Here is a 17884-nt window from a genome sequence, read left to right as displayed (position 1 = left end):
TTTCTCCTGAGGCCTCTCCCCTTGGCTTGCAGATAACTACCTTCTTGCTGTGCCCTCACAGGGTTTTTCCTCTGTGTGGGGACCTTGGTGTCTCATTGTATGTCAAAATTACTCTTCTTATAAGGATATCAGTCAAACTGGATTAGGGTCCCCTGTGATTACCTCATTTTAACTTAATCACCTGTTTAAAGACCTTATCTTCAAATACAGTAACATTCTGGCACTGAGGGTTAGAGCTTCACCATATGAATTTGGGGGTGGGGGACACACACAACTCAGCACATGACAGAGCTTTCCCAACCTTCTCTCTTCTGTTGCTTCTTCCACCAGTCGCTTCCTTTCTACCTGGATCCATGTATTTCAACAAATTTTATTTTCCCCATGGGTCCCTAGTCCTCACTCTTTCTGAATACTTCTACAGAAATAGTTGATCATGCACAAACGTGCAAGTGCTTTGAAATCTGCATTGTCATCTGAAAATGATACATTATTATGACTTCCAAGAGACTAAGCCTAGCAGTGTCAAGGAGTAGCGGAGAGGAAGGCAGCATCTTGTTCCTTGGGCTAACGTAAGACCAAATACATGGGCAAGCTTCCTGTACCCTATTGGAGCTTTCTAGAAAGCAAATAGGGTATGTAGAAATAGCTTATTTTAATGAATTTGCTCTCATGGTTATGGAGGCTGGGAAGTCCAAAATCTGCACAAAAGGATGAAAAGCCGGAGACCCAGAAAAGAGTTGATGCTGCAGCTTGAATCTGAAGGCAAATCCACTTTTCCTCGGAGATCTCAGACTTAGCCTTCAACTGATTGATAAACCCCACCTACATTATGGAGGGTAAACCTGCTTTACTCTAAATCTATTAATTTAAATGCTAATCTAATCTAAAAAATACCCTTACAGTGACATTTAGACTGGTGTTTGACCAAATTTCTGGGTATAGTGGCCTAGCCAAGTTGATGCATAAAATTAATCATCACATCAGCAAAACATGATCTAGATAAAAATACATGAGGACTGATTTTAGAAGTAGATCCTTACATTTAAAGAGCAAAGCCAAAAGTTCTGCTGTGTCTGTTTTCTGTCTTCTACTACTTGTGGTCTCCTCTCTTCTAAATCTTGCGGAAAAACTGCAATTTGTAGTTGAGATACTATCAGTCAAAATTCTCACTTGGGTTTATATAAACATCTTTGTGCTTGTTCTGTCTCATTCAAAAAATAGTAAACTCTTTGGACAAGCAAGGATTTTTTTTTTCACTTTCTACATAAAGCTATACAAACTTAGCATTGTTACTGTATAACTCAAAATGGAAGTAAAGGCAGTTTTTTAAAAAAGAAATATTACACTTAAAGAAGTACACACTTTCTTTGTATTCTCTAAAAAGCATGAAGCTAATATAAAGTTGAAAAATCAATGCTGAGATACTATGATATATTTTTGTAAATAATATATTAAGGTGATTTTTTAAATTCTAGAAGCCTTACTCTGAAACTCAGATTTCCAAAAACAAACTCAACACTGTTTTAAACACAGGAGGAGAAGGACATTTACAACTGAAATATCTACGACAACCTTTATAATCTAAGCATTCATTAATAAAGCATACACATAAAAACAAAGAAACAAGAAAACTCACTTAACTTCCAAATTTCAAAATACAGAAAATAAAAGCAGTATAAATCTGAGAACCAAATTCAATGCCTTTCTCCTGTTGCTCTCCCTGTTACTCTGCCTTGAAAGCAGAGTTCATGTCCTGCCTACCTTTGAATGCTGAGCACCTGACACATGGTAAATGCTAAACAAATGTTTCTAGAACAAAAATAAGAAATAAAACTTTAAAAAATATTCAATTAAGTTCCCATGAAAATTATATGAGAACTAGGAGATCCAAGGGCATCTTCAGTTAGGGTGGAGTTACCTAAAATGACCTTTTGACCTGTATCAAGGTTTGGACTAAAGAATACAGGGGAACTATTCACACACTTATTGAACAGTAGCTTTTTTGGTGCTATCTGCATTAGTGTCACAATGTCAATATAACACTGGAACCCTAGGCATCACGTCAGTGTTTTCTGATACCTGTGGAAGTAGCACTAAGGACATGTTGGTGAAATGTCCCTGCTTGCCTCAGAAAATTACTTGCCTCAGGCAGTAATTATTCTCCTTCTGACCTGTGTTAGACTTGGGGGAGAATAACAAAAGCCAGAATGTGTAATGAGTGGGTACAGGCTTCTGCTCCTTAAGAAATCCTGAGCATCTACCAGGCATTTGTGGGTGGTAGAGAAATAAAGCTCAGTCTGTAACAGGAGCACCTCATGGACAAAGAGAAATGTGATAGGGACTACAATATACAGAAACTCAGAGGAGTAGTGACAAATTAATCTGGGGAGCTTCAGTAAGCTTCACAAAGTATATAACATTTGAGCCTGATCTTTAGGTCTGAATACAAATTTTCCAAGTACGAAATAGGTTTAGAGAAGATACTTCAGGTCAGCAGTTCTCAAAGTATAAACAACAGCTCCTGGGTGTCAGCAAGATCTTTTTAGGGTACCCAGATAAAAGGCCCATAGGAAGACTATCTCATAATAATATTAACTTCTTATTTGCCTTTTCCACTATGTTGACGTTTGCACTGATGGTGCAGAAGAAAAGGTGGGTAAAACTGCTGGTGCCTTAGCACAAGACAGCAGTGGCACCAAATTGTACCTGCAGTGGTGTTCTTCAATGCCAGGTACTTGCAGTAAAAGAAAAAAAAAGCAGTATTATTTAGGCAAATCCTTGATACAACAGTAAAAATTATTAATTTTTAACAATCTTGACCTTTTAATATGTGACTTTTTAATATCTGTGCAAAGAAAAGAGGAAGTAGACATAAAACATTTCTTCTGCTTCCTGCAGTTCAATGCTTGTTTCAAGGAAAAACACTTGTGTGATTGTTTGAGTTGTGCTTTTTTCAAAAAACACTATATTTACTTGAAAGAATCACTGACAAACTACAGTAATTCAAATGTATCACAAGCTGTGGTTACTGTCCCATGAAACCTTAATTCAGTTGTATAACATGTCAAGGAAAACAGCTGATAGTATTGGATTCCAATCCTAAAATTACAGCCTGTAAGTAAAAATTCGAATTTTGCAAAACTTGTATCTGTCATAGTAAGCTTGAAAGCATCCCAATATTTAAAGACTTATTTGATGCAATCAGTGGTGATATAAACTAATGTAATTTTTTGATGTATAATGAAATGAGTGAAAATTTGGAAGATTTACATATTATTCAGGGAACCAATATGCTTCAAATGACCAACACATGATACTGCAAATTCATGCATGGGTAAAAGATCCATTCAAGGTGCAAAGGAGACTTATCAATAGATTTTAATGTCATGTACTGTGAAAAGTTAATTGGTAGGGTATCAGACTCATTGCAACTAATGTTTAAGGAACTATCACTTGTTGAGTTTTGGTGTAGTATTAAAGAAGAATATCTACAAAATAATCTGAAAAGGTTATCAAAATACTCATTCCTTTCCCGACTATATATTCATTACAGGCTGAATTTTCTTCATATCATTCAACCAAAACAACACATAGCAATAGAGTGAACACAGAAGCAGATATGGGAATCTGTCTTCTGTTAATTCAGACATTAAAGAGATGTGCAAAAATATAAAGCAATGTCACTCTTCTAATTTTGTTTTGTTTTGGAAAATACAGATTTTTTTCACAAAAATGTATCACTTAGGATAACATATAAGGGATTCATTATTATTTTTAATATTAATACATGTTTCTTAAAATTCTCCATTTTAATTTATGGTATGTTTCGTGTTGATAAATGTAGTTTATAGTCCACTTAAACAAAGCTCCTAAGGGGTATTCAATATTTTTAAGAGTTTAAACAGATCCTGAGACTAAAAAGTGTAAGAACTGGTAGTCCATTTAGACGAGCTAGCTTGAATAAAGGCAAAGTTCATGCCAGGGAAATATAGTGTGTTCTTGAAATGGAAATAGGAATAGGCTTCTCCAAGGAGGTGGCTAGAGATGATAGCAAAAGGTAACCTGGGAAGATTATAAAAGATTATGCCCTGATAAAAAGTTTGAATTTACCCTCTATTCTGATGGTTTTCAAACTTTCAAGACTATTACCCATGATCAGAAGTACATTTTACATCATGAAACAGTACCAAAACACATGCACGTTTATACAGAAAAATACAACTAGAACAGAGTTTCACAGAACAATGTCTTTACTAAATGTGATACACTCTACTATTTTCTTTTCCATTATATTTTAATAGCTGAATGTAATTCACTAATTTGAATTCACTACTTATTAAAAGCCTGCAACCTGTAACTTGTAAAACACTGTCCCATGTAGTGGACAATCAAGAGGCAGCAGATGTTTTGCCCAGGGAAGTGACATGATCACATCTGTGTTTTTATAATCACAATGTGGTGTGGAGGGTAGAACATTCAGGATGCCGCTGTAATGGCCCAGAGACATTATGGTAAGCATGTGGTCTGAGCCAGAAGATTGAGAGGAGGGACCGTATTTGAGAAAGAAAAGACCATCAGGATTTGAAGGCAAGTTTAATATACTGTTTTTTTAGAAGGAGAAAGATACACCCACAGGGACTCTGAGGACGTGTAGTTTGGGAGAAACGTGTGGCTGCTGAGGCCATTAGCAAAGATAGAACATGCAGAAGAGCAATAGGTTTGCAGGGCATGGAGGCAAAGGCAAAAAATAAACCAATTTAGTTTTGGTGAGTTTTGAGTGGGCTGAGTTTCAGAGGCCTGCAAGTTGTTCAAGTAGTGATGCTCAAGAGGGGAACAGAAATTTTATTCTATGGAAGTGGAAATAATTCAAGTCTGGAAATACAAAAATAATTGCTGTTAGGTCTCCACACTGCTATTTTAGGAGCACTGCACTAGTCCTCTTAGTCTTATATTAACACAATTAGGTGTATTTTTTGAGAACAAACAAATAATGCACTGCTTGTATCAGTTTATGCAAAATAGTTAAGGTTCTAGAAGACAATATCACTAAAAACAATAAAACATACCAAAAATATGCCAGTTTTAAGTTTCAAAATAAATTCACAAAGGCCATTATATTGTGATGTTTCCTTGACATGGCTCAATTATACAGAAGAAAAGTAGCACACCTGGTCTCTGTCAAAATATGCCATAGCACTGGGAGATGTTGCATACTGCTAAGAAAATCTTTTTCATGACAGTAAAAACCTCTGCCTGCAGAAGTATATGTTTAATAGCAATGACACCCTTGGTACCAGCCATTTTACATAAAAATATCAATAATCTTTTCACCTTTAAAAATGTGGCATACAGTTTTATCCACTTTATAGTGATGGAAATGAAGAATCAAGCTGGTTAAGTAGCCTTGCAAACCTTATACACAACATAAATAACCAATTTAACCATCAAACTTACATCAGAATTTATACATTATAACATTTAGCCTTTTTGCTGAGTGATTATACAAATTTTAGTCTGGTACCAACCCATATAGAACACACTATTTAATAATAAGAAGAAAACAAGGCTAAACATTATTTTAACACATAGAGTAATTTTCTTGTAAATAAATACACACACCCTATTATACAAAAGCTAACTTCACAGACTACAGGGAAGAAATACAGATAAATAATGTGATAAATTCTGAGAAATAACATGAGTCTACTTCACAAGGAAATCTGGTTGTTTACCATAATCATTACAAACCTCAAAAATAGATTCATATCATGTTAAAGATATGCAAAATGTCTGGGATCAGATATCATATAAACAACTTGCTGTTGCTGCTAAAATGCTGTTCCCTTAATAATCTGCTTGGGCAGTTCAGCGACCAAAAACCACTCTGCGACCCGGGTTTGTCAGCACAATGTTTATGCTTCGGTTTATCTGACCAAAAGAGGCGGAACACATCAATGAAATGCAACACCAATTCTCAGCGGATGCAGCACTTGAGGGCTCACAAGGAATCTAAACACAGCGTCTGGAAAGAGCAGCTTGTGGCTCAGCCTTTGGGGAACACGAGGTACCTCAATTAAACAATAGCAGTTAGCAGATCACAGCAGAGATTGAAGAGACCCTCCAGCTCATTCTTTGTCCTGAACATAATATTTAATTACAGCCAAAGACTAAGCAGAAGTTTAAATTACAAGTCTAACTTCCTGTTTTGTAATTTTTAATGATCCGTTAGCCCCAGTAGAGCCCCAGTTATATGGTTATTGTGTCTATTCAGGTGTGTTCTGTTTTATGCAACAGATAATTTCTAGAAATTTGGAAAAGGGTGAGTCACATTTTTATAATTCTAGTAATACTTCCTTCAATGATAAACATCATCACTTTGAATTAAACTCTTTAACTTCAGATATCCCTGATTCACTCTCAGTCAACCTTTTCTCAAGCAGTAAATTGTCTACAGTCCAACATTAAAATGCTACACAGAAACAAACCAGTTAAAAGAACTTGGTAGATTAAACCTTTATCAAATGTAAAATCTATAATATAAATAATAGTCTTATGTTCTTCTTCTTATATCTGTGGTGTTCTCAGACATAGTTCTCACGCCCAGTTGACAATCTGGAGAAATTCAGTTCATTTCAGTCAACATTGGTTGAAATGTCCAGTTACCGCGCTAAGTCTTAAGGAGGCAAAATTTAAAAACATGGTTTGTACCTTCAAGAACCCCACAATTTAGTAAAAGAAATACATATATAAAGTAATGAAGTGTGAAATATATCATATCAAAAGTATATATGGGTAATAAGTAGGATATTTGAAAGCGTGATTAACCAATTCCTTGAAAGACATAATCTAGTAAAACTCACATAAAGAGAAATAGATAATCTCAATAGGCCTAGATCTATTACATAAATTGATTCAATAACTAATAATCTTCAAAAAATAAAGCACCAGGCCTAGATGGTTTCACAGATGAATTGCACCAAACATTTAGAGAAGAAATTATACCAATTCTTTACAAACTCTTTTAAATAAAAACAGAAGGAACACTTCCTAACTCATCCTATGAGGCTAGTATTACTCTAAAATCAAAACCAGATAAAGCAAGATGGCTTACTAGAAGTAGCTAGTGTGCATGCCTCTCATGGAGAGGAATGAACAGGGCAAGTAAATACAACAACTTCAACTGAAACATCCAGGTACTCACATTGGGGCTAATCAAGAAAATAACTTGATCCACAGAGAATAAAGAAAAGCAAGACAGGACAATGGCCCACCCGGGAGCAACACGGAGCCAGGGGAACCTCCTTCTTGCAGGGAAGCACCTTCACTGGTGATACCCCCAGGTACAGGAAAATCCAAGGCAACTAGAAATTGGAGTGGAACCAAAGCATGCCACAGCAGCCCTATAGAAAAGTAGACAGACTGTTACATGGGTGTCCGTTCCCATATCTCCTCACTAGACAGGTCCTCCAGGCCTGGGCCTCCAGCCAACCCCTGCCAGAGCTATCGAGCCAGTAGCAATTCGGAAATTCCTTGGACCAGGCCCCCAGGGGCAACTGAAAGCCTCTCTGCCATTGCCTTTGCAGTGGAACTGCCCTTGCTACCCTTGCACTAATGAAGGAGTAAAAACCCTAAGTGCCTTATTCACACTACAACAAGCTGTAGTCAACCCAAGGAGAGGAGGCCAATCCATCTCCCATGGGTCCCACACATCCCCCACTGCTCATCACCACACAGGGAACCCCTGGCTTGGGCCCATAGCACAGACCCTCTATTCTGGGCTGATTGCACTGAGCAATTGTTGACCTGCATCTCTTTGGGGTGAAGGCCCCAGGAGTCAAGCAAACAACCCTAGACCATGACCACTACTAACTTCCCTTCCTCTGTTGTCTCCAAGTTGGGGAAGAAAGATAAACACAGATCACCCCAGAGCTGCAGTGGGCAGCCAAGGAGTACCAAGTCATGATCTACAGCCAGCACTCAAGGGGGAGAGGATCCCACACTTTCAGAGCATTGAGAGAGAACACGGCTGTAACTGTGAGGAAACATAGGGGAGCCACATGACTGAGCAAGAGTCTACCAACTGACCAATAAGCCTAAGTGCCACCTGCTGGATCACACCCTAAAGCTTCAACACCAAAAATACCTCACTAACATATCATCCTCTTAAACCAGAGACAAAAAGGCAGCTTCAAATAAAGACCTTGCACAAAGCCTCAGCCTGGTGAAAGCATCCAAAAAAGAAGTCTATTGACTGTACTCAATCTATACTGCCATTAAAAGGAACACCCACACACAGAGATGGGAAAGAACCAACACAAGAACTTTGTGGTAACTAAAATGGCCAGAGTGCCATATGTCCTCCAAATGGCCAGGCTGAACGGGCTGTAATGACAGAAATAAAATTCAGAATATGGACAGGAACAGAGATCATCAAGATTCTGGAGAATGACAAAACCCGATCCAAGAAAATAAGAATCACAATAAGGCAAAAAGGAGCTGAAGGACAAAATAGCCAGTATAAAAAGAATCTAATGAGTCTGACAGAAATGAGTAACACAATACAAGAATGCAGTCACAAGTATTAACTGCAGAATAAACCAAGCTGAGAAAAGTATCTCAGAACTTGAAGAATGGTTCTCTGAAATAAGACAATCAGAAAAAAATAAATTAAAGAATAAAAAGGGATGAACAAAACCTCCAAGAAATATGGGTTTATGTAAAGATGCCAAATCTACAAATCACTGGCATCCCTGAAAGGGAAGAGGAGATAGCAAATAACTTGGAAAACATATTTCAGGATATTGTCCATAAAAACTTCACCAACCTTGCTAGAGAGGCCAACAGTCAAATTCAGGAAATACAGAGAACTCCTGCAAGATTCTACCCAAGAAGATTATCCTAAGGCCATAACTGTCAGATTTTCCAAGGTCAAAATGAAAGAAAGAACTTCAAAGGCAACTAGAGAGACAGGGCAGGTCACCTACAAAGAAAACATCATCAGGATAACAGTGAACCTCCCAGCTGAAACCCTATAAGCCAGAAGAGATTGGGGGCCTATACTCAACATTCTTAAAGAAAAAATCTTCAACCAAGAATTTCATATACAGCCAAACTAAGCTTCGTAAGTGAAGGAGGAACAAGATAATTTTCAGATAAGAAAATGTTGAGGGAATTCATTACCACCAGATCTGCCTTAAAAGAGATCTTGACAGGAACATGAAATATAGAAAGGAAAGACCACTACCAGCTAAAACAAAAACACACTTAAACACATGGACCAGTGTCACTGTAAAGCAACCACACAAACAAGCCTATGTAATAACCAGCTAACAGCACAATAATAGGATCAAATCCACACATATCAATACTAACCTGGAATGTAAATGGACCAAATGTCCCACTCAACAAGGCACAGAGTGGCAAAGTGGATAAAAAAGCAAGAACTAATAGTATGCTGTCTTGTCATTACATGCTATCTCACATGTAATGACAATCATAGGCTCAAAATAAAGGGATAGAGGAAAATCTACCAAACAAATGGAAAACAGGCAAAAGCAGGGATAGCAATCCTAATTTCAGACAAAACAGATGTCAAACCAACAAATATCAAAAAAGACAAGAAGGGCATTACATAATGGTGAAGGATTCAATTCAACAAGAAGACTATCCTAAACATATATGCACCCAACACAGGAGCACCCAGATTCATAAAGGAAGTTCTTAGAGACTTACAAAGAGACATAGACTCCCACATGATAATAGGAAGAGACTTCAACACTCCCATGACAGTATTAGACAGATCAACAAGGTAGAAAATTAACAAAGATATTCAGAACCTAAACTCGACATGGACAAAATGGATCTGATAGACCCTTACAGAATTCTCCATCCAGAATCAACAAAATATACATTCTTCTCCTTGCTACAGGGCATGTACTCTAAAATAGACCATATAATTGGACATAAAATAATCCTCTACAAATGAAAAAGAACTGAAATAATACTAAACACAACCTTGAACCACACTACAATAAAAATAGAAGTTGACTATGAAAAATCACTCAAAAACCATGCAATTACATGGAAATTAAACAACATACTCCTGAATGACTTTTGGGTAAATAATAAAACTAAGGCAGAAATCAAGAAGTTCTTTGAAAATAATGAGAACACAGATACAACACACCAGAATCTCTGGGACACAGCCAAGCCTGCGTTAAGAGGGAAATTCATAGCACTTAATGCCTACATCAAAAAGTTGGAATGATCTCAAATTAACAACCTGAATTTACAACTGAAATAATTAGAGAAGCAAGAACAAATCAATCCCAAAGCTAGCAGAAGATGAGAAATATCAAAAATTAAAGCTTAACTGAAGGAAATTGAGACACAAAAGACCATTCAAAAGAACAATGAATCCAGGAGTTGATTTTTTGAAAAAATTAATAAGACAGGCCTCTAACTAGACTAATAGAAAGAAAAGAGAGAAGATCCAAATAAACACAATTAGAAATGCTAAAGGGAATGTTACTACTTAACCCACAGAAATAAAAACAACCATCAGAAACGACTACTAACACCTCTATGCACAAAAACTAGGAAACCTAGAGGAAATAGATAAATTCCTGGACACATACATCCTCTAATACTCAGTCAGGAAGAAATCGATTCTCCGAACAGACCAACAGCAAGCTCCAAAATTGAATCAGTAATAAATAGCCTACCAACCAAAAAAAAAGCCCAGGACCTGATGGATTCACAGTCAAATTCTATGAGATGTACAAAGAAAAACTGGTACCATTCCTACAGATACCATTCCAAAAAATTGAGAGAGGCTCCTCCCCAACTTAATCTATGAGGCCAGCATCATCTTGATACCAAAACCTGTCAGAGACACAACAAAAAAAGAAAACTTCAGGTCAATATCCTTGATGAACATCTGTGCAATAATTCAAACAAAATACTTGCAAACAGAATCCAGCAGCACATCAAAAAGCTAATCTAGCATGATCAAGTAGGCTTCATCCTCGGGATGCAAGGTAGGTTCAATATAAGCAGACTTGTTTTTATTTGCTAAATGTGATTCACCACATAAACAAAACTAGACAAAAACCACATGATTACCTCAACAGATGAAGAAAGGGCTTTACATAAAATTCAACACCCCTTCATGTTAAAAACTCTCAATAAACTAGGCATTGAAGGACATACCTCAAAACAATAAAAGCCATTTGTGACAAACCCACAGCTAACATTTTACTGAATGGGAAAAAGTTGGAAGCATTCCCCTTGAAAACTGGCACAGGACAAGGATGCCCTCTCTTACCACTTCACTCAACATAGTATTGGAAGTCCTAGCCAGAGCAATCAGGCAGGAGAAAGAAAAAAGCGCATCCAAATACAACGAGGGGAAATCAAACTGTCTCTATTGGCAGACAACATTATTCTATATCTAGAAAACCACAGAGTCTCAGCCCAAAAGCACTTCCAGCTGAGAAACAACTTCAGCAAATTTGCAGGATACAAAATCAATGTACAAAAATCACTAGCATTTCTATACATCAACAACAGCCAAAACAAGAGTCAAATCAGAAAGGCAATCCCATTCATAAGTGCCACAAAAAGAATAAAATACCTAGGAATACAGATAATCAGGGAGGTGAAAGATATCTATAATGAGGTTTACAAAACACTGCTCAAAGAAATCAGAGAAGACACAAACAAATGGAAAAAACATCCCATGCTCATGGATAGGAAGAATTGATATCATTAAAATGGTTATACTGCCCAAAGCAATTTACAGATTCAATGCTATTCCTATCAAACTACCAATGACATTCTTCACAGAACTAGAAAAAACTATTTTAAAATTCATGTGGAACCAAAAAAGACCCTGAGTAGCCAAGGCAATCCTAAGCAAAAAGAACAAAGCTGGAGGCATCATGTTACTCAACTTCAAACTATATTACAAGGCTACAGTAACCAAAACAGCATGGTACTGATACAAAAACAGGCACATAGACCAATGGAACAGAATAGAAAGCCAGGAAATAAGGCTACACATCTATAACAATCTGATCTTCGACAAAGCTGAAAAAAAGAAGCAATGGGGAAAAGACTCCCTATTCAATAAATGGTGCTGGGATAACTGGCTAGCCATATGCAGAAGACTGAAGCTGGACCCCTTCCTTACACCATATACAAAAATCAACTCAAGGTGGATTAAAGATTTAAATGTAAAACCCAAAACAATAAAAACTCTAGAATACAACCTAGGCAATGCTATCCTGGACATAGGAAAAGGCAAAGATTTTACAACTAAGACACCAAAAGCAATCACATCAAAAGCAAAAATTGACAAGTGGGATCTAATTAAACTTAAGAGCTTCTGCATAGCAAAAGAAAATATCAACAGAACAAATGGACAACCTACAGAATGGGAGAAAATATTTGCAAACTATGCATCTGACAAAGGTCTAATATCCAACATCTATAAGGAATTTAAACAAATTTACAAAAGAAAAACAAACAACCCCCATTTAAAAGTGGACAAAGGACATAAACAGAGACTTCTCAACAGAAGACATACATCTGGTCAATAAACATATAAAAAAAGGTGAATATCACTGATGACTAGAGAAATGCAAATCAAAATCACAATGAGATAACATCTCATGCCAGTCAGCATGGCTATTATTAAAAAGTCAAAAATAATAGATGCTGGCAAGGTTGTGGAGAAAAGGGAATGCTTATACACTGTTGGTGGGAATGTAAATTAGTTCAATCATTGTGGAAAGCAGTATGGTGATTCCTCAAAGAGCTAAAAGCAGAACTACCATTTGACCTAGCAATCCCATTACTGGGTATAAAACCAGAGGAATATAAATCATTCTACCATAAAGACACATGCACTCAAATGTTCACTGCAGCACTATACACAATAGCAAAGACACGGAATAAATCTATAGGCCTGTCAATGACAAATGATTGGTTAAACGAAATATGGTACATATACACCACGGAATACTATGCAGCCATAAAAAAGAATGAGATTGTCTTTTGAGGGAACATGGATGGAGCTGGAGGCTATCATCCTTAGCAAACTAATGCAAGAACAGAAAACCAAATACCATATGTTCTCACTTATCGGTGGGAGCTAAATATAATAATTTATGAACACAAAGACTGAAACAAGAGACACTGGGTCTACTTGAGGGTGGAGGGTGGGAAGAGGGAGATGAGCAAAAAAGATAACTATTGGGTACTGGGCTTAATAGCTGGGTGATGAAATAATATGTAAACAAACCCCTGTGACATGAGTTTACCTACGTAACAAACCTTCATATGTTCCCCCAAACCTAAAATAGAAGTTTAAATGAAAACAGATAGTTACTACAAAAAAGGAAAACTAAAAAAAAAATCCACTTAGTAACATAGATGCAGAAATCCTCAACAAAATATTACCAAATCAAGCCCAAAAATACATAAAAAGAATTACACATCATAACCAAGTGAGATTTATTCCAGGTATGCTAGGAGGGTTCAACATTTGAAAATCAATTAATTGAATCCTTCACATCAGCATATTAAAGAATAAAACAACATACTATCATATCGATAGATGCAGAAGAAAAGCATTTGACAACAACCATCATGATAAAAACTCACAGCAAACTAAGAATAGAAGGGAACTTCTTCAACTTGATAATGAACATCTACAAAAAAACTATAGAGCTAACATCATACTTAATGGTGAGACACTAGATGCTGTACCATGAGATGAGGAAGAGGGCAAGGATGTCCCCTCTCACAACTCCCATTCAATATCATATTGGAAATTCTAGCTGATGCCATAAGTCAAGAAAAGGAAATAAGAGAAATACAGATCAGAAAGGAAAAATAAAACTGTCTTTGTTTGAAGGTGCCATAATTGTGTATGTAGAAATTCTGAACAATTGTCCCAAAGTCTTTGAGAACTAACAAGTAATTAAAGCAAGGTTATAAGATTCAAGATTAATATACAAAAGTCAATCGCCTTCCTATATACCAGCAATGAATAATTTGATTTGAAATTAAAAATACAACATCATTGATATGGTTTGGATGTTTCTTCTCTCCAAATCTCATTTTGAAATGTGATTCCCTATCCAGCCAAACTAAGCTTCATAAGTGATGGAGAAATAAAATCCTTTACAGACAAACAAATGCTCAGAGATTTTGTCACCAACAGGCCTGCCTTACCAGACCTCCTGAAGGAAGCACTAAACATGGAAAGGAACAACTGGTACCAGCCACTAGAAAAACATGCCAAATGGTAGAGACCATCAATACTAGGAAGAAACTGCATCAACTAATGAGCAAAATAACCAGATAACATCATAATGACAGGATCAAATTCACACATATCAATATTAACCTTAAATGTAAATGGGCTAAAGACTCCAATTAAAAGACAAAGACTGGCAAATTGGATAAAGAGTCAAGACCCATCAGTGTGCTGTATTCAGGAGACTCATCTTACATGCAGAGACACACGTAGGATCAAAATAAAGGGATGGAGGAAGATCTACCAAGCAAATGGAAAATAAAAAAAAAGTAGGGGTTGCAATCCTAGTCTCTGATAAAGCAGACTTTAAACCAACAAAGATCGAAAGAGACAAAGAAGGTCATTACCTAATGGTACAGGGATCAATTCAACAAGAAGAGCTAACTATCCTAAATATATATGCACCCAATACAGGAGCACCCAGATTCATAAAGCAAGTCCTTAGAGACCTAAAAAGAGACTTAGACTCCCACATATAATAATGGGAGACTTTAACACCCCACTGTCAACATTAGACAGATCAATGAGACAAAAAGTTAACAAAGACATCCAGGAATTGAACTCCGCTCTGCACCAAGCAGACCTAATAGACATCTACAGGACTCTCCACCCCAAATCAACAGAATATACATTCTTCTCAGCACCACATCACACTTATTCCAAAATTGACCACATAGTTGGAAGTAAAGCACTCCTCAGCAAATGTAAAACAACAGACTTTATAACAAACTGTCTCTCAGACCACAGTGCAGTCAAACTAGAACTCAGGATTAAGAAACTCACTCAAAACCGCTCAACTACATGGAAACTGAACAACCTGCTCCTGAATGACTACCAGGTACATAATGAAATGAAGGCAGAATTAAAGATGTTCTTTGAAACCAATGAGAACAAAGACACAACATACCAGAATCTCTGGGACACATTTAAAGCAGTGTGTAGAGGGAAATTTATAGCACTAAATGCCCACAAGAGAAAGCAGGAGAGATCCAAAATTGACACCCTAACATCACAATTAAAAGAACTAGAGAAGCAAGAGCAAACACATTCAAAAGCTAGCAAAAGGCAAGAAATAACTAAGATCAGAGCAGAACTGAAGGAAACAGAGACACAAAAAATTCTTCAAAAAATCAATGAATCCAGGAGCTGGTTTTTTGAAAAGATTAACAAAATTGATAGACCGCTAGCAAGACTAATAAAGAAGAAAAGAGAGAAGAATCAAATAGATGCAACAAAAAATGATAAAGGGGATATCACCAGCAATCCCATAGAAATACAAACTACCATCAGATAATACCATAAACACCTCTACGCAAATAAACTAGAAAATCTAGAGGAAATGGATAAATTCCTCGACACATACACCCTCCCAAGACTAAACCAGGAGGAAGCTGAATCCCTGAATAGACCAATAACAAGTTCTGAAATTGAGGCAATAATTAATAGCCTACCAACCATAAAAAGTCCAGGACCAGATGGATTCACAGCCAAATTCTACCAGAGGTAGAAAGAGGAGCTGGTTCCATTCCTTCTGAAACTATTCCAATCAATAGAAAAAGAGGGAATCCTCCCTAATGCATTTTATGAGGCCAACATCATCCTAATACCAAAGCCTGGCAGGGACACAACAAAATAAGATAATTTTAGACCAATATCCCTGATGAACATCGATGCAAAAATCATCAATGAAATACTGGCAAACCAAATCCAGCAGCAAATCAAAAAGCTTATCCACCCCCACTTTTTGATGGGGCCAAGGACATGAACAGACAGTTCTCAAAAGAAGACATTTATGCAGCCAAAAAACACACGAAAAAATGCTCATCATCACTGGCCATCAGAGAAATGCAAATCAAAACCACAATGAGATACCATCTCACACCAGTTAGAATGGCAATCATTAAAAAGTCAGGAAACAACAGGTGCTGGAGAGGATGTAGAGAAATTGGAACACTTTTACACTGTTGGTGGGACTGTAAACTAGTTCAACCATTGTGGAAGTCAGTGTGGCGATTCCTCAGGGATCTAGAACTAGAAATACCATTTGACCCAGCCATCCCATTACTGGGTATATACCCAAAGGACTATAAATCATGCTGCTATAAAGACACATGCACACATATGTTTATTGCGACATTATTCACAATAGCAAAGACTTGGAACCAACCCAAATGTCCAACAATGATAGACTGGATTAAGAAAATGTGGCACATACACACCATGGAATACTATGCAGCCATAAAAAATGATGAGTTCATGTCCTTTGTAGGAACATGGATGAAATTGGAAATCATTGTTCTCAGTAAACTATCGCGAGAACAAAAAACCAAACACTGCACATTCTCACTCATAGGTGGGAATTGAACAATGAGAACACATGGACACAGGAAGGGGAACATCACACTCTGGGGACTGTTGTGGGGTGGGGGGAGGGGGGAGGGATAGCATTGGGAGATATACCTAATGCTAGATGACAAGTTAGTGGGTGCAGCGCACCAGCATGGCACATGTATACATATGTAACTAACCTGCACAATGTGCACATGTACCCTAAAACTTAAAGTATAATAATAAAAGAAAAAAAAAAAAAGCTTATCCACCATGATCAAGCTGGCTTCATCCCTGGGATGCAAGGCTGGTTCAACATATGCAAATCAATAAATGTAATCCATCATATAAACAGAACCAAAGACAAAAACCACATGATTATCTCAAGAGATGCAGAAAAGGCCTTTGACGAAATTCAACAGCCCTTCACGCTAAAAACTCTCAATTAACTAGGTATTGATGGAGTGTATCTCAAAATAATAAGAGCTATTTATGACAAACCCACAGCCAATATCATACTGAGTGGGCAAAAACTGGAAGCATTCCTTTTGAAAACTGGCACAAGACAGGGATGCCCTCTCTCACCACTCGTATTCAAGATAGTGTTGGAAGTTCTGGCCAGAGCAATCAGGCAGGAGAAAGAAATAAGGAGTATTCACTTAGGAAAAGTGCAGATGACATGATGGTATATTTAGAAAAACCCGTCATCTCAGCCCCAAATCTCCTTAAGCTGATAAGCAACTTCAGCAAAGTCTCAGGATACAAAATCAACGTGCAAAAACCACAAGCATTCCTATACACCAATAACAGACAAACAGAAAGCCAAATCATGAGTGAACTCCCATTCACAATTGCTTCAAAGAGAATAAAATACCTAGGAATCCAACTTACAAGGGATGTGAAGGACCTCTTCAAGGAGAACTACAAACCACTGCTCAACGAAATAAAAGAGGACACAAACAAATGGAAGAACACTCCATGCTCATGGATAGCAAGAACCAATATTGTGAAAATGGCCATACTGCCCAAGGTAATTTATAGATTCAATGCCATCCCTATCAAGCTACCAATGACTTTCTTCACAGAATTGGAAAAAACTACTTTCAAGTTCATATGGAACCAAAAAAAAGCCCGCATTGCCAAGACAATCCTAAGCCAAAAGAACAAAGCTGGAGGCATCATGCTACCTGACTTCAAACTATACTACAAGGCTACAGTAACCAAAACAGG

The 17884-nt window shown here is 37.1% G+C and overlaps 1 protein-coding gene across 20 annotated transcripts in view; it reads right to left on the bottom strand.

Moving 5' to 3' along the window:
* Positions 1-17884, bottom strand: part of DNM3 (dynamin 3) — a 576969-nt gene that overhangs the window by 209183 nt on the left and 349902 nt on the right. Inside the window, exon 16 of one of the 20 annotated variants that reach the window (XM_017000989.2) lies at positions 2-1129. The exons of the other annotated variants lie outside the window; for them this stretch is intronic. Coding sequence (XP_016856478.1) covers positions 1112-1129 — 18 coding nt within the window. The 3' untranslated portion in view covers positions 2-1111. Of the gene's footprint in view, position 1; positions 1130-17884 lie in introns of those variants that run through there. 20 annotated transcript variants of the gene reach the window in all.

The sequence above is a fragment of the Homo sapiens genome, chromosome 1, assembly GCF_000001405.40.
Source record: "Homo sapiens chromosome 1, GRCh38.p14 Primary Assembly".
Taxonomy (NCBI): Eukaryota; Metazoa; Chordata; class Mammalia; order Primates; family Hominidae; genus Homo; species Homo sapiens.
The sequence above is the reverse complement of the archived record's forward strand: the minus strand, read 5'-3'. Positions and strand labels throughout refer to the sequence as shown.